This window comes from Homo sapiens, chromosome 5 (genome assembly GCF_000001405.40).
Source record: "Homo sapiens chromosome 5, GRCh38.p14 Primary Assembly".
NCBI lineage: Eukaryota > Metazoa > Chordata > Mammalia > Primates > Hominidae > Homo > Homo sapiens.
Genome location: NC_000005.10, coordinates 62460793 through 62479829, shown reverse-complemented (window position 1 = coordinate 62479829; position 19037 = coordinate 62460793). Strand labels below are relative to the sequence as shown.

At 36.5% G+C, this 19037-nt stretch overlaps 1 protein-coding gene across 2 annotated transcripts in view; it reads right to left on the bottom strand.

The window, feature by feature from the left end:
* Positions 1 to 19037, bottom strand: part of IPO11 (importin 11) — a 215820-nt gene that overhangs the window by 148753 nt on the left and 48030 nt on the right. For both annotated transcript variants that reach the window (NM_016338.5, NM_001134779.2), the window contains exons 6-9: positions 12567 to 12699; positions 9522 to 9580; positions 5366 to 5414; positions 3077 to 3147 (exon numbers count right to left, since the gene is read on the bottom strand). In NM_016338.5, coding sequence (NP_057422.3) covers positions 3077 to 3147; positions 5366 to 5414; positions 9522 to 9580; positions 12567 to 12699 — 312 coding nt within the window. The remainder of the gene's footprint in view (positions 1 to 3076; positions 3148 to 5365; positions 5415 to 9521; positions 9581 to 12566; positions 12700 to 19037) is intronic.

Below are 19037 nucleotides of genomic sequence, written 5' to 3'. Positions count from 1 at the left end.
AGAATCTACAAAGAAGTTAAACAAAATCACAAGAAAAAATCAAACAACCCTATCAAAAAGTGGGCAAAGGACATGAACAGACGCTTCTCAAAAGAAGACATTTATGCAGCCAGCAGACACATGAAAAAATGCTCATCATCACTGGCTATCAGAGAGATGCAAATCAAAACCACAATGAGATACCATCTCACACCAGTTAGAATGGCGACCATTAAAAAGTCAGGAAACAACAGGTGCTGGAGAGGATGTGGAGAAATAGGAATGCTTTTACACTGTTGGTGGGACTGTAAACTGGTTCAACCATTGTGGAAGACAGTGTGGCGATTCCTCAAGGATCTAGAACTAGAAATACCATTTGACCCAGCCATCCCATTACTGGTTATATACCCAAAGGATTATAAATCATGCTACTATAAAGACACAGGCACACGTATGTTTATTGTGGCGCTATTCACAATAGCAAAGACTTGGAACCAACCCAAATGTCCATCAACGATAGACTGGATTAAGAAAATGTGGCACATATACACCATGCAATACTATGCAGCCATAAAAAAGGATGAGTTCACGTCCTTTTGTAGGGACATGGATGAAGCTGGAAACCATCATTCTGAGCATACTATCGCAAGGACGGAAAACCAAACACCGCACATTCTCACTCATAGGTGGGAATCGAACAATGAGAACACTTGGACACATGGTGGGGAACATCACACACCGGGGCCTGCCGTGGGGTGGTGGAATGGGGGAGGGATAGCATTAGGAGAAATACCTAATGCAAATAACAAGTTAATTGGTGCAGCCAATCAACATGGCACAATTATACATATGTAACAAATCTGCACATTGTGCACATGTACCCTAGAACTTAAAGTATAATTTAAAAAAGAGAAAAAGAGACAACCAGACATTGTGTGTCACATTGCATGTGTGCACGTCATACAATACAGAACAATACTTATAATGTATTCTTGCCATCCCTGCCCTATCCCCCACAAAAAAGCCTGAAAGTGACTAAACCTCTACATCTAACTACCAACTTATAAGAAATATGGGAGGAGAAGTGTGAAGACTAAAGAACATGTTAACAAAAAGCATGTGGCGACACAAGCAATCAAATTCAAAACATGAAAAAGTACAGAAAATTACCTGTTACCTCAAGAAATAACAGCAAGGAAATAACTTTGGAACAGATGGAAAGGGAGCTGATGCAAGTTGAATCCTGATTCAAACAAACTAGAAAAATTCATGACACAATCAGAGAAATCTAAAATCTGACTAGATATTTAAATGATATTAAGAAGCTATCAGTATTTTTTAAATATAAAATTGTGTTAAGATCCTATTTAAAAAAAATAAAACAGGCCAGGTGTGGTGGCTCACGCCTGTAATCCCAGCACTTTGGGAGGTGGCAGTGGGTGGATCACTTGAGCCCAGAAGTTCGAGACCAGCCTGGGCAACATGGCAAAACCCTATCTCTACCAAAAATACAAAAATTTAGCTGGGCGTGGTGGCATGTGCCTCTGGTCCCAGCTACTTAGGAGGCTGAGGTGGAAGGATCACTTGAGCCCACAAGGCAGAGGCTGCAGTGAGTCAAGATCACACCACTGCACTCCAGCGTGGGTGACAGAGTCAGACCCCATCTCAGAAAATACACACACACAAAACAAAACAACCCTACCACTTAAAGACACGCACTCAAATATTTACAGGTAATACTAGATAATATCTGGGATTCGATTTAAAATAACCAGCAAGGGTGGGAGGGGAAAGCAGCACACAGACAAAGTAAGACTGACTGTGGCCATATGTTGATAATTGTTGCTGAGTGATGATGTCATGAAGACTCAAAGTTACTCAATTCTATTTATAGTAACTTTATTCTATTTTGAAATGTTCTAATTTAAAAAGCTTTAATAAAGTCTTAGAGATCATAAATATGAATTTCATAAATGAAATTGCTTCCAACATGTTAAGTAGAATAAATTACAGATACCATCTATCCATGTCATTACCTTAAGAAAGAGTTGAAAGAACTGAAAAATCTCACAGCTAAATAAATGTGTTTTCTAAAACAGATCATCTAAATAATGCTTTTTAAATTTTACTTATGTAACTGATATAGTGAGTAGGGACTGTGAGGCAGCAGAGCCGCAGGCAAGTGTCAGTGATATATACTGTATAGTCCTCTTTGACTAAGCACATCATCCTGTTTTACTTTGCTTTGTGTTTTTTTAAACAGAGAATCTTAGTCAATTTTATAATGTATCTTGGAAGATTAGGTGAACTTCTGTTGTTGAGGCTACTTGGAACAAGAGAAACGAAGACAACTGAAACTAAAGGTAATTACTACCTAAAACACAAAGATAAAAAACAGCTCATTTCTGCTCCTTTACTCCCCTCCCAGGGAATAAGCAACCCCTACCCTATTATTGAATCTTTAATTAAAAAGGGAAATAGATTACAGATTTAGTTGTTCCCACCTGTCTTCAAGTACCTATTTTAGTGCAAGCAGTCCCCAAGCTAGGTCTTTCTAACTGCTGTAACCCAATTATTTGCACTTCTCCCAATCCTTCAAGACCAAAATATCATTAAAAGTTAATGTTTTATAAAATGTAATTATACACACTGCCTACCACAGCGCACCCCCTATAATTCCACTCAAAAGATGCTTAGTATGGACGAAGATAGTCTGATGGTCATTCTGAATATACTGACTTCCTGTCTGCTACATTTGATCTACTTCTAGCTGAACTGCACTGCTATCTTCTTTATCTCCACTTTCTCCAGTGGGTCAAAGAATAATGAGCTTTAGAGGAATCAAATACTCTAATATTTATTAGAATTTATTTTTCATGTACCAAGGTGACTTACACTATGACACATGGTATGTAAATTTAATTATTATATGCATTCTAAAGTACATATAAAAGCAATTTTTAGCTTTCCTATAAGGAGTCAGAACATAGGTTTCCTTACACTAAAGTGAAAATGTATGGTTATAAAAATATCATTTTCCTTTGTAAATCTGAATATGTGTATTATATTTGAGAAAACAAGTTTTTAAAAAACTTACCACTTTAGTAAAAAGAATGATGGTCTTTTCCAGTCTATCTCTACACACATTATCTGTACCTATACTTCTACCTGTTAAAAATACATTTCAAATATTAGAAGTTAATAAGTTCACAACCAAGACAACATCAAAATTTTTACAAAAATAATATTGCTGGTTTTATTTTTGCATATTTTGCATTATGAATTCATTATTTAAAAAGCAATACCAAGATTTACACTGAGTAACAGACACAGTAGCCCTCTGTGCCATATTATATAAAATTAACCCTAATATATGAACTGAACTCACTTTTATAGTAAAAGAATAGTCGTTTTAGCAATGAATCATGGATAACATTTAAAAACTAAATGTCACAGTTGAAGTATTTTTCAAGCAACATACATGTGTAAAATAAAGTAGTCAAGGAGTAACACACTCATTATCATTTTTCCTATATCTTCTGACAAATTTATTCTGATAATTTCCCTGGCGATTTTTTTTTGTACATTCAGAACAATGTCCACCAGCTCATCAGCTAATCTGCTCTCTAATAATACTCTTCATATTCTGTTTGTTAATTTGTCTTATTCTCTCCTGGAAGGGCTTTTATTCTTCCTTCTGCTACGCCCACAAGGATGGCCAGAGAAAAATGACTATTTTTAGAAAACATAGTAACTACACAATATGAACATTCTTATTCATCTTTCCATGCATAGTACCCAGGACAGTGTCTGCCCACAGGCTCAACAATGTTTTACTAAATTGAAACTGACTAACATAAAACAATCAGTAGCTCCTTAAAAGTGAGTAGACTAAGATATCTTCTCAGGAGAGCAAATCCCCAAACACACAAACACACACTTGTGTGTGCACACATGTGTATGTCCAAATAAAGGTGCTTACAATCACATGGAAGAAGAAGATAACAAACAGACCACCAGTAAAATACAACACAAATATAAATGCTATAGTCTCTCACATGGGGTAGTGAATAACAAAGGATGCTAAAGATAAGCCAGTGGAGGTTAATGAACAAGGGATTTACAAAATCAAACTGCCAGTTACAGAAAGTTATATCACAGTGATATGCAACAAATACTAAAAGCGAAAAGAGTCTACAAGAAGTCTAAACAGGATTTGGCATATAGTCTATAGACAATATTTGTTAAACATATGACTGTTGTGGACATCTGCCTGGAAAGGGGTAGCTGCAGTAGAAATACAGAAAGAGGAATGAACACAAAATAGAATTTTTTTTTCTTGAGATGGGGTTTGTTCTGTCACCCAGGTTGAAGTGTAGTGATGAGATCACTGCTCACTGCAGCCTCAACCTCTCAGGCTCAATCAATCCGTCCTGAGTAACTGGGACTACAGGCACACACCATCATGCCTGGCTAACTTTTTAATATTTTTTGTAGAGACAGGGTTTCGTCATGTTGCCCAGGCTGGTCTCCAACTCCTGGGCTCAAGCGACTCACTCGCCTCGGCCTCCCAAAGTGCTGGGGTTACAGGCGTTGAGTCACCACGCCTGGCCTCAGGGAAATCTTTTTTTTTAAATCTATTTTGGCCAGACAAGGTGGCTCATATCTGCAATTCCAACACTTTGGGAGACAAAGGTGGGCGGATCGCTTTAGCCCAGGAGTTTGAGACCAGCCTGGCAACAAGGCAAATTCCTCTACACTCATTACCAGTACAGTAGTCCCCTCTTAGTTTTGCTTTCCTCAGTATCAGGTGCCTGCAGTCAATCACAATCCAAAAATATTAAATATAAAATTCCAGAAATAAACAATTCTTAAGTTTTCAATTGTGCACCATTCTGAGTATGGAGATAAATCTCAAGCTGACCCACTCCGTCCTGCCCCAGACGAGAATCCTCCCTTTGTCCAGCAAATACCAGCTATATACACTACCTGCCTGTTAATCACTTAGTAGCCATTTTGGATACTAGCTCAAAAAAGCATAGTACACAAAGGGTTTGGTACTATCTGTGGTTTCAGGCATCCGCTGTAGGTCTTGGTTCGTAGTCCAAGGAGGGACTTCTGTATATGAGGCAAAAGCTAAGCTTCTAACTTCAGAAAGTTGATACAAAATACTCATTTTAGCTACATATAGGATCTCTGCAGCTATCAAGTGCTCACTCAGGGAGCAATTGGACAAGACACTTTCTCTAGATTTATAAGTGTGCAACAGAAGCTATTAATGAATAAGCATCTATTAATCCCTCATTAATCCTAGCTATTAATGAATGAATAAGCTACTAATGAATAAAAATTCTACAGTAAAAAGGACTGCAACGAAAGTACTTACTGCATTCCAGAAACTGTTTTAGACGTTCAAATATTCCATGTAAAAAACCCTAGAAAAGAATATTATTTTAAATATCTCAATTTATTGTTATAAACATTTACCTTGTATCTTTTTCAGGGATACCAAAACAAATCTATCACATCACTTAAAAAAATTAGCCGAAGAAAAATAAGTTAAAATTAGTTAAGCAAAAAACAGTTCACTATTATAAACAAGTCGTCCACAGGAAAATAACTATAGTATTTCATCCCTTCAATATCTCATTTAGTTACATAAATCACTTTGCAATGAATAAAAAATTACTTTTTAAGCATCCTGTTTCACTAAACACTCTCTATTCTCCTTACTGCTTTAATTTTTCTTCACAGGCTTTAAATCCCTTGAAATACTGCACTTGTCCATTTATTATGTGGCTCCTCCCATTAGAATATAAGCTCCTTGAGAGCCAGAACTTTGCTCTGTTTACTGCTTTATCCAGAATCCTGAAACATCGTTTGGCAATAATAAGTATTCAAAAAATGAACACATGGTACCAATTATTTACACCACAGTTCTTAACTTCAAGTATATGACACATTGGTCCTCAGATACTAGTATTAGATAGGCATCAACATATACCAGCTAGGTCTAATGGACCCTTTTTTTGAAAACATATTCTAAGATATGTTTTGAATAATTAACAGGAATAAATATAAAGAAATAGTGAAAAAAACTTAAAAATTTTAATAAGAATTTAAGCATAGAAGACATCTTTGTATCAATAAATGTTGGTGTATAAACATCATAAAAGATGTCACACACTCAATTAGCAAATGAGGTAGTCTCATTTGTCATGAAATACTGGATGATGATGGCTTTCCTGGAAAATAATTAACTCTAGAATGCCACAATTCCTCTCTATCAAATATATTGTTCATTGATCAATTCTTGAGTTTGAGAAAATTCAACTAGGATACCATTATCTGAAGACTTAGTGTCTGAGATTTTCCTTAGACAATTTCATTGTTAACATTAGAGTCAAGAGTACTGCTCTCAGACTCTCAATATCCATCCACTGACTCATCAAAAAACTAGTAAACCTCTTCCTCTGTCAATTTCCTTCCTTCTCTCTGTCATTTCAAGCAGAAAATGTAAAATTCTGAATTCTCAACTGTTAAATAAAAGCTAAAAGCAGAGTAAAATCAATGTTTCCAGTCTTCCTTTATACCTTCTGGAAACGTGATGAAATACAATTAACACAATTTAATTGGGTTAAATTAATTGGCAACACAATTTAAAAAAAGAAGAAAACTTCAGGATGACAACTTCACTACTGCATCATCTTCCATTTTCATACTATTTCTGTCTTTTTAAAGCATAGTTGACAATAATTGATAATGAAAAGTAACAACAGAACAATGAAACAGCAAAAGGTTTCAATTATAAAAGAATTAGGTCACCAAGATCCCATAAGTCTGTTAACTTTATAAAAGGGTCCAATAGTCCTATTCTCCAAAGAAAGTAGAAAATTATAAAGGCCATCGATTTTAAAAGCCATCATTATCACTGTGCCTGCCTTCAGGGCCCAGAATCTCACCACTGTCATATATCTTTTCTTTAGCATCTTTTAAGCTCTCTGTTATTTTTAAGATTTTTAAGCCAAGTGTGGTGGCTCACGCCTGTAATCCCAGAACTTTGGGAGGCCGAGGCGGGTGGATCAACTGAGGTCAGGAGTTCGAGACCAGCCTGGCCAACATTGTGAAACCCCGTCTCTACCAAAAATACAAAAACTTAGCTGGGCATGGTGGCAGGCACCTGTAACCCCAGCTACTCAAGAGGCTGAGGCAGGAGAATCGCTTGACCTTGGGAGGCAGAGGTTGCAGTGAGCCGAGATCACGCCATTGCACTCCAGCCTGCGCGACAGAGTGAGACTGTCTCAAAAAAAAAAAAAAAAAAGATTTTTATATTATTTGAAATGTTGTCTTTAATTTGTTAACATTTTATCCTCTAATTGACTGATGTACTTAATTGCTACAATAAGGCATTTATAACTGAGTAAAGGTTGACATGTGATTTATGCAACCAGAAAACTCTCAAGGGAAAGCCAAAGCTCACAAAATATCGATGACAGCCAGTGCAAACTACTATTTCACCTTATAGGAATATAAATCAAATCAATTCATTTTCACTTAAAAAAAGATAAACATAATATTCTGGTTAATATAATGAGAGTAATATTGCATATAATTCCTGAGACTTTGACATATTGCTTCTACCATAAAGGATTTATTCATTAAACAAACAACTATTGAGCATTTACTATACAGAAAAGACTGTTCCAAGCTCCGAGTCACAGCGAATAAAACAAAGCCCCTCCCTTCATGGAATTTATACATTCTAGTTAGGGAATTGAAAAGGAGTTGTCAAGTTGGTTTCTCGAAAATCTTTTTTGGCAGCATGGCAATCGAAATGTATCTGGATTTAAATCGAGGCTTGACATTATCTTTCAGCAATTTGGTAATATGTATCAATACTGTGGAGGGGCATATGCTTAACCCAACATTTTCAATTCTAGGAATTTATCCTAAAGAGATTAGAAAACCACATAACAGTTACCCAAATGATCAGTCCATATCTTTTATCAAAAATGAAAAACTGAGAACCTGTATGTCCGTCAACAGACAATTGTGTAAGTACATTATAAGAATCCTATATTAATATCTCTTTTTTAAAAAATTAGTCTACTGACACTAATCATATGAATGTACCATACAATCATTTTAAAAATAACATGTAACAATATAACTGACAATGGAAAAATATATGTAATATGCTGAGTTTGTTTTTAAAAAGTAAGGAAACGACATGTAAATATGATCCCATTTGTATCAAATTGAGTGAGAAGGTCTATCCAGAATAATATGCATAAAATGTCTTCAAGGATATTTATAAACTTTAGCAGTATCTCTGAAGAGTAAGATTATGAATGATTTTTTAGTTTCTTTTCCTGAAATTTTTAACTTAAAAAAAAGCATGTCAATTTTCATAAAATGAAATAACCATCACATTATGATGATGTATATTATGGGTTTTAAACTCATTTAACAATAGAACAATTACTTCAATCAAACCTCAATATACAAAAAATACTATTTTTTTTAATGGCTCTGGTCAAATCTAGTAGGGGAGACCCAAAGACCCAATTAGATTTGTTTTTTCCTCAACTCCTGAGCAACCCCCAAAGCGACTTACAAAAAGCAATGTTTTACCTGAGCTAAACTTACTGTGAATTCTAACACAAATCTAAGTATAATAAAATGCCATTTCATTTATTTTAAAAAAAAAAAAAAGAAATGCAACTAGGCCAAGCACGGCCAAGCCTGTAATCCCAGCACTTTCGGAAGCCAAAAAGGGCAGATCACTTGAGGCCAGGAGTTCAAGACCAGCCTGGCAGAAATGGTAAAACTTCGTCTCTACTAAAAATACAAAAATTAGCTGGGCATGGTGGTGCATGCCTGTAATCCCAGTGACTTGGGAGGCTGAGGCAGGAGAACTGCTTGAACCCAGGAGGCAGAGGTTGCAGAGACCCAAGACTGCACCACTGCACTCCAGCCTGGGTGACAGAGCGAGACTCTGTCTCAAAAAAAAAAAAAAAAAAAAAAAAAAAAAGAAGATGGCTATCTACAGACAATGAATATATATCACAACTTATGATCGATTTATTGACAAGGTTTTTCTCTTATATATTTATTTTTTTAATTGATTGTGAACAGCATGTATTAATGTAATGATCAGACAGAAAAAAACAAATTTATTTTAAATACATAAAAACAAAGGAAAATATTAAGTATATAAAAAACTATTTACAATGTACCTGGTAATGTTATAATAGCATTCAAATTCACAGGAGTTCATTTTAATTTAAATTCAAATTAACACTCTCAATGTACCATGGCATCCTTGAGAAATATCCTAGGCCTATTTCCTCTCCTTCACACAACAGCCACTTTGATGTAGTGAAAACAGACCAGAAGTCTAAAAGTCAGAATGGTAAAAAACTAGATGGTCACTTAATAAAAACTCTTCTAATTGAATGCCAAATAAAAAGAGCACTCTTTCAAACATTCAGGAAAATACCACTTTCCCAAAGTCACAGCAAATTTCTTCGATCACTTACCATCACCTCCATATTCTTATGAGGTTCCACAAATCCATTAACAGTTAACTTACGCAGCACTGAAAAGCAAAAGCAAGCTTTACTTGAATCTTATTTTATCCTACTAAAATTACAATCACAAGAAAGATTCAGAATTGCAAAACTTAATCAAGCTTGGAGGTTAATCTGGGTTGGAAAGTTAACTCCTGGTCATTTGGCTGGGAAATTAGTGGGAAAAATGGAACTAAAGTCTAGTTCTTCTAACTCACAAATGCAGTGTTCTTCTGACTTATTGTTACTACTCATGTTTCTAAAACTGGATTCCAAAATTTAGTGTAATTTATATAATTGTTAGTACTTCTTACCTGCAGTAACTGAAATTGAGAAAGTCATTTCTATTTCACAAACTTTAAGCTATGACTCAACGGTAACCAAAAACCTTCATTCAGTTTTCGGCTATATTAATGGAAATACAATTATCTCCTAAAAACGATATAAAAATTAAACCCTATTTCCAAATTTGGAATCAACTACACTGCTCAACTGTGACATTTCATGAGTAACACTGACAAACTAGTGTACACAGAGAGATAAGCAGGATAACAGATTTGAAGGCAGAGCTAGATTTAAATCCTTGATCTATTGTCTACAGTTGTAATACTACTTTGGGCAACATTTCTCATCTCAGTTTCCTCATCTGTAAAATGCGGTTAACAAATCCTACTTTATAGGGTTATTGATGGATTCCATGGTATATGTAAAATATAGCAATTATTTAGCAACAATAAGGATGGTGACAGTGTAAGAGACAAAATTAAAAGTTCATTAAATAAGGATTGCTATTACAGTACTAAAGAATTATACCTTAAATAGTGTTTATGAGGTCTAAAGGCAATGGATTAAATTTAGGTTTAGAATGTAGCTGTCTACTAGACCTTCGGTTTGTAAGTCTAAAGCAATGTATTAAAATTAAGTTTAGAATGTAGCTGTCTATAAGACCTTCAGTTTGAAATCATCATATGCAACTCAGAAGTTGCTGCATCATAACGATGCAGTAAGTTTTCCTCGTTTTCGTAAGGAGAAAACAGAATTCAAATTGAATCCCTTATTCTGGATATGCTTTCTCACCACAAGACCTTGAGCCACAATACCTGAGAGGATCCTTTCCTTCTCCCTTCATCACCTAGTTAACTTCCACTTATCCTTTAAGATTACAGCTCAAAGATCACTTTCTCAGGGAAATTTTTCTGATCATATTATCAGTTATCATAATATCATAAAGCCTCTGTCACAGGTGTCACTTTAAATATATTTGTGGGATCATTTTATTAAGTCTGTCTCCCCAGTGCCAAGGATCTATAGATTTGTCGAATGAAATAATGAATGCATCCATGTCTAAAAGATACTAAATGCACGTAAGTGTAAATTCAGATAGAGATTACACAAAACAAAAATTGTAGTTTGGAGTATTTCTTCATTTCAGAACAGAAATGTATAGTTACAGAACAAAATTTTCCAGGGCAGGATATCTCTAAAAAGTTAATGTGAATCTAAGACCTTCAGATGGTGAGGTATTAAAAAGCTTAAGGCAGGCAAAGATATAGTAAAGCTACATCTTTTTCGTCAGGAGTTAGGCTTTGAAATCAATAAGGTAAGAAAACCCTATAATCAAAAGAAATCTTGAAAATTTCTTAATCATTAAATATACTACTATACACACAGCTTTGTATACACAGCCTTATATCAGTTTCTGTAATTCTTTCTGAGCAAACATTTCTCTCCAATGTCTGTAATTTCTTCCTCAAGAATGTTAACAAAACCATCTCCACTCACTTTTATAACTACTTCTACAATGGATTTTATTTTTCAACAGTCCTTTAAAATCATTCAAACATTTCTTCACAGGTTTCACAAAATGTGCTGACAGTTTGGGATTTGTGCATCCATTGTCTGGTGAAAGTAAGTGATGTATTAAGGCGATGCCAAGACTGATGGGATTCCAAGGTACCAGAATGAGTACGATAAAAGAACTTATAGGTAAAACTAAAAAGAATGCAAACTGAGAGTAAGAGAGAAACTGATGCTGCCTGAGATCAAACTAAGAAAAACAAACTAGGCCAGGCACAGTGCTCATCCCTGTAATCCTATCACTTTGGGAGGTCAAGGCAGGAGGATCACTTAAAGCTAGGAGTTCAAGACCAGAAAGATGTAAAAATCAGCCTGGTGCAGTGGCATGTGCCTGTAGTCCCAGTTACTCAGGAAGCTGCAGTGAGAGGATCACTTGAGCCCAGGAGTTCAAGGTTGTAGTGAGCTATGATTATGCCACTGCACTTCAACCTGGGAGACAGAGCAAGACCCTGTCTGTCCAAAAAAACAAAAAACAAACAAACAAAAAGAACTAAAAAAGTCTTAGCAACCAGAACAGAAAGAAGAGAGGGACTAGAAAAGTAAGAGAATAAGACAAATGAGTATATTTTAGAAGAAAAGGAACCTAGGAATACATTCATCAAGATAAACAGCTCAAGGAAAGTGAGATGGAGATTTATGCTAAGGGAATGCCTGCAAGCAACATATACCAAGACACAGGCCAAGATGGCATCCTATAAAGCACCTTCTGAAATCCAAGTGAGCCTGAGGCACTAAGATGAAAGATGGAGGCTTGCCTTTCCAGGGAAAGGAGGGATGAAAGACAGTGCTCATTCCAGCCTGGAGAAAAAATTTTAGGAAAGTTGGCATGACAAGGATAAGTGTAGGGGTCCAGAATGAGAAAAATAAAGTAGAAACAAAAACTAGAAGCATTTGAAAAAAATATATTCAGAGCCATGAGGCCGCAATAATGTGAATCTAACTATCCACTTCAACTTATTATATGTGCTTTCAAAAATCAGAAGGGGTAGAGGAAGAGCTACTGCCACAAAACTATAAATAAGCCCTTATCTTTCAGGGAGAAATAAACCTCTTATTTTTCCAGTGAAACTGGGAACAGAAAACCCGTCTAAAGGAACTATTTGGTGACTGTTCTGAGGTATCTCATTTCAAAAATGAACATATCAAGCTTAATAGTACCTTTCAATGATAGCAGTGTTCGTTCTAGTGAACTCAAAATTGCAGCTTCATTGCCAGAAGAAACTTCTTGCAGGAATGTGTCTGTGTGGTGATTCCACAGAGAGCAGGCAAAATTATAAATTCCAGAAGCTAACTGCAAAGAAAAGGCAACAAATTTATTCATAGTGTATTATACATTTCAGTAATACATTAGAACTACAAAGTAATATATTTTAGTTTTACAACTAAGCACACATTTTCTGAGAGATCTGAAATAGTCAAAGAATATTTGTGGCAATGTTTCATACTTTTTTAGCCACAATGCACAGTAACACATACAGCTTACACTGGCTGCTAAACACACACAGACACACCCCTAAAATACTAGTTTCTTAAAACAATATTAATACCTCATCAAATGCCTGCATTGCAGTCTTATATATTCTATTTTTATTCTTTTTATCTCCACTAATAGGTTGCAATCTCAGTTTAAAACAATGATTTATGGACTGTCACTGAGTATGTCAGATAAATCAATATATGAAGATATACAAAGGAGAAAGCCTTCCGTGTTCTGCCAGTTCTACGCATATGGCTTTTGCACATTTAATGCCAGGAACATACAAACCACATGGTTTCTCAGTTGCTTTACTAAAGTGTGCTGATATTTAAAAACCTGACCCTCACATTAAGAATGTAGTTAATCTCTGCCTCACACTTTGAGGCAGAACATCTTCCAGTGACATCTTCAATTTTTTCCAGGAGTTCTCGGAGCAATCCAGCTGAGTCTACATGGCTATTTACTTTAAATTAAAATTAGATAAAAGTATTTATGACTAGTTATCATCAGCATACTTCGGAATGCTTTTTCTTACTCAAGATATAAGCATCTCATGTTGACTAATTAAATGCTATTTATAGAACAGGCATCAGAAACCAGAGCTGCAATCCTGTTAAAATCATGTTTCTATGAAAAAATCAAATTTCCATTTGTTAGTTTAAGTATTTTTAATGTGCCATTAAAACGGCTTCACCATATCCCCCAGGGCAACTTTGCATGTATCCACACAGAACACACAAGCTTAGCAAAGGCTTGAACCTCAGTTAATCTGAGTCTTGGCAAAACATCCTGTGATCCTCCCAGAACACAAGAGGATAGAAGGCTTGTAAGAAACTTACAAGACCATCTCCTACTCGTCTCTTTATCTGCACCATTAGGCTATCATGAGACAGTTTCTCATCACCTCTCAGGTTCTGAAGAGGTATAAGGTTTTCTGCCCTACTCCCCTTAAAACACACCGCAGAATATAAAACTACTGAGCTATATGGTCTAGAATTGGCTTCTCAGCAATTAGGCATCCCACAAGTCACATTAGAGTCATCTATCTCCTATTGTTTCTGTGCCATTCTTTCTGGTGTATGAGACAAGGCCCACAGGAAGCTGGCACCTGTAGGTGCTTCCTTTCTCTATCCAAATTAAATAATGAACTGCCTGAATCTAAAAGTGGTTCACTGTATCTTTACAAACTAAATCAGTCAGGGATGCCTTGGCCCTTCCTCATCTTGTGTGTATACTTCACAACAGGTACAATGACTACTCATTAAGCTACTTTAGCATATTCTCAAGTATATATGCAATATTTCAAAGAGTAAAATCAAACTGTTGAATACTAATGTTTTATTACAGCCAAAATACTTTAGTGATCATTCTCTCAATTCATAGTGTTACAACACAAACCACTGTATCATAAAAAGAGTTTGAAAGTGACATTTTCCCATGAAGTAGTATTATAGCAGAGAAGCAAACATTCACTCTGATAGAAGGGAAATAATATTTAAAAAGTGGGAAAAAAGCTTTATTTCAACAAACTTGCATGCTTTACTTATAACTTCAGTAAACCATAAAATGAATTCGTATTTTTCTTAGTAAGTCCTTTTGGAAAATAAAAGACTGAAATACATATCCAGAATTGAAAAAATATCTATCATCCTAAATTTTATTGTACTTACTGTGTAATATACAACACCCTAAGCTTTCCCAACACATACATCATTAAAATATTTTGTCAGAAGAAAGTGAAAGAATACGAACAGAAGGATTTAGACGCAGAAGAGGTAAGAATTCTACAAAACACCTAAAATTAAATTTTAAACTACAGTAAAATTTCTTATTGTAGCAAATATTTCAACTCCCCAAAAATGAAATCTATAGCCTTGGCTATAATTTGTAGATCCGTTTTGTACTGTGTCTTTTTGTAAGAAAACAAAAACTCAAAGGGTGCCATATCCAAATTTCAAATAAGACCAAAAAACTATTATACTTTAAACCGATATCTTGCTTACAACAAAACGACATTTTGAGTAATTTTATAGCTTTTCTTTGCATCTCCTTAAAACTACCTGTTAACATTAATGTCTGTATAGATTAAAATTGTTTAAAAGGACTTTATATTGAAATTTTTTGTGTCGCCATTATCTGAAGTCACTTGAACTCATTTAAAAGGTATGCTCAGACCAGGCGCGATGGCTCATGCCTGTAATGTCAGTGCTTTGGGAGGCAGAGGCAGATGATCACCTGGGGTCAGGAGACCAGCCTGTGCAACATGGCGAAACACGGTCTCTATAAAAAGTACAAAAAAAATTAACCAGGCATGGTGGGGTGCGCCTATACTTCCAGCTACTTGGGGAGCTATGGCGGGAGGATGCCAGGATGCCTTGAGCCCAGGAAGGGAGGCTGCAGTGAGCCGAGATCACACCACTGCACTCCAATCTGGGTGACAAAGTGAGACCCTGCCTCAAAAACAAACAAAAAAAAACGAAGAAAACAACAACAATAAAAAATAACCAGCTGGGCACAGTGGCTCACACCTGTAATCCCAGCACTTTGGGAGGCCAAGGCAGGAGGATCACAAGGTCAAAAGATCGAGACCATCCTGGCCAACATCGTGAAACACTGTCTCTACTAAAAACACAAAAATTAGTTGGGCATGGTGGTACACGTCTGTAGTCCCAGCTACTCGGGAGGCTGAGGCGGGAGAATCCGGGAGGCAGAAGTTGCAGAGAGCAGAGATCTCGCCACTGCACTCCAGCCTGGCGACAGAGCAAGACTGCATCTCAAAAAAAAAAAAAAAAAAAAAAAAACCACCAAAAACAAACACATAGACCAGATGCGGTGGCTCACGCCTGTAATCCCAGCACTCTGGGGGACCGAGGCAGGTGGATCACCTGAGGTCAGGAGTTCGAGACCAGCCTGGCCAACACAGCGAAACGCCGTCTCTATTACAAATACAAAAATTAGCTGGGCGTGGTGGCACGTGCCTGTAATCCCAGCTACTCGGGAAGCTAAGGCAGGAGAAATGCTTGAACCCAGGAGGTGGAGGTTGCACTGAGCTGAGATCACCCCACTGCTCTCCAGCCTGCGTAACAGAGCGAGACTCTGTCATTAAAAAAAAAAAAAAATACAGAAGTAAAAGGTATGTTCAGTATATCAGTATATATTATCTTCTATGCTCTAATGTCTCTTAATACAATAACTAACAATTAACTGCACTGTATAAAAGAGATAAACATTTTTGGTATAACTAAGTTCTGTTTAAACTTTTTTTTTTTTTTGAGACAAAGAGTCTCACTCTGTTGCCCAGGCTAGAGTGCAGTGGCGCAATCACGGCTCACTGCAGCCTCAATCTCCTGGGCTCAAGCAATCCCCTCACCTCAACCTCCTGAGTAGCTGGGACTACAGGGATGCACCACACCAGGTTAATTTATATATTTATTTTTATTTTTTGTAGAGATAGGATCTCACTGTGTTGCCCAGCCTGGTCTCAAACTCCTGGGCTCAAGTGATCCTCCTGCCTCAGCCTCCCAAAGTGCTGGGATTACAGGCATAAGCTACCATGCCTGGCCCTGTTTAAACCTTTTGATATCAAAATATAAAGTACACCCTGGGCATGGTATCTCACAACTGTAATCCTAGCACTTTGGGAGGCTAAGGCAAGAGGATCACTTGAGGTAAGGAGTTGAAGACCCACCTAGGCAACAAAGTGAGACCCTTTTTCTACAAAATGTTTCTTAACAAATTAGCTGGACATGGTGGCACATGCCTGTAATCTCGGCTACTTGCAAGGCTGAGGTGGGAGGATCATTTGAACCCAGGAGTTCAGGGCTGCAGTGAGCTATGATCACACCACAGCACTCCAGCCAGGACAAGAGTGAGACACTGTCTCTAAAAATAAATTGAATGTTTTTCTTATATATACACATATATTCATATACATATAAGTAATATATGTGTGTAAATTAGAACTAGTCCCATTCACTAGTCGTAAGAGCCATAGACCTTTTATCTAATTCTCAATACCCCCCACTACCACTACATGCCAGACTCACTGAAAAAAAAAAAAGGATGGTGACAGTAACTATCCCCTAGTTCCTCAATTAAAAGTAAGATTAAGCTTGAAAAAGAAAAAAAAAAGAGTCAGCCAAATAAAACAGGCACAGGCTCAAGAAAGAAAACATTAAGGGAGAATTTGCCACCCTACATAACCACATATTTTGAAATTGTGTCAGATTTTTCTGAAGTATTTTATAGTGGCCGGGCATAGTGGCTCATGCCTGTAATCCCAGCTACTCAGGAGGCTGAGACAGGAGGATTGCTTGAGCCCAGGAGCTTGAGGTTGCAGTGAGCTATGAGTGTACCATTGAACTCTAGCTTGGGAGACAAAACCCTGTCTGTAAAAAATAAAAACAGTATTTTTTTTAATAATGGTAGCAAAGGGGCAAAACTGTTCTTTTTTTTTTTTCAGGCATTGCTTCTGTTACCAGAATATCTCTTTGCAGAATTCTACCACTTGCATACACACAATGCAAATCACAGTAGACATATTCAACATAAAATCCTCCCCACTCACCTACAAAACAAAGAATAAAAAGTACCAAAGAACATCTCTGAATACTATACCAAAGGTTGTTACTGTGACAAGACTGAATAAAAGGAAGCATTTAAACATGGTGGACTCAAAGTCATTAAAAAAAAATTCTATTCTGTTCCATAAAATCATCTCCTTTTCTATTTATCATTTGACTCTAAAAATGTGTTAGAAAGTTCAGTAATTCAGTAATTCCACTCTATTTCACCTTAAGCAACTTTCAATTTTGAAATTTTCATCTCTACTTCTCACAAAAATAAGTAAGATTTATAGATATTAATGGCAAAGTTAGATCTCGATCTATTAATTAATTCTTCCCTCTTTCTGTCCCTAGAAAGTAATACTTAATATGAGAGAACTACAGGCTAAAATATCTCAAATCTGAAAACCCGAAGTATTTGCTTCAAAATCCTTAACTTTGAGTACCAGCACGATGCTCAAGGGAAATGCTCACTAGAGTGTTTCAATTTTCAGATTTTCACATTTGAGATGTTCAACGTAAGTATAATGTAAATATTACAAAATCTGAAAAAAATCTGAAACATTTCTGTTCCCAAGCATTGCAGATAAGAAGTACTTAACCTGTACTTTAAGGACTACAGATACGAAAAGCACATAAGATGCCTGGCACACAGCAGGTATTGCTAAATGAAGGCATATAGCATTTGAGACAGAAATTTAAAAAGAAACAATAGTATGGAAATTTAAAAACAAAAACCTAATAGTCAAGGACATCAGGCATCTCTTAAAGTTCTAATTCAAGACTCTCTAGCTAGCCTACGAAAGGTCTCTACACAAATGGCTGGAATGAAGAAGCAACGGCACTATCTTTCGACAAACAGCCTCTCCTTAACCAAACTTTAGTGAGGCTTTTCTGAATCTTTGTCCTAACTAGGCTTCTACTTTTGGACTTCCAAAATGTCTGTTCTTTGCGTCACCCAATTTTAGCAAGAAATCTTGCTATGTTGGTTTAGCCAGAATCCCCTATCCTTGACATTGATATCATCAATATCTCATCAGGTTGCTTTCGGCAAGAATCCTATTAGGTCAGTTTGGCCAGGAACCCCCTCTCATCCCTGATGATTCTTTTTAGTAATTTTCCATCCTCTCAACCCCCCATCCCCCCAACCTCCCACCCTTTCCATCCCTGCTCCTTGGCAATAAATTCCCACTTTTCCTTGTATTCAGAGTTGAGCACAATTTCTCTCCCCTACTGCAAAACCCCACTGCAGTAGTCCCATCTGAATAAAGTCTGTCTTATCATCCTTTACAAGTGTTTGAAAAGTTTTTCTTTAACACCTTTCAGCCCTTTACCTTTCAGTAAAAGCAGGGAGAGAGATAAAGAAAGAAGAAACAACAGGAATAAAGAAGAAACCACAGGAAGTAACCATTGCCAACTAATATATTCACAAGCCCTGTATACCTCCTATCTGCTCCAGAAAACACCAACTGATACATGCTTACAGAAGGCTCAGCTGGAAAAGAGTAAGTAATAAAGCAACCAAGTAGGAGAAATAAAAATATTTTTTTCTACATGTGATTCTAAAAATGTGGAGGGGGGAAGGAA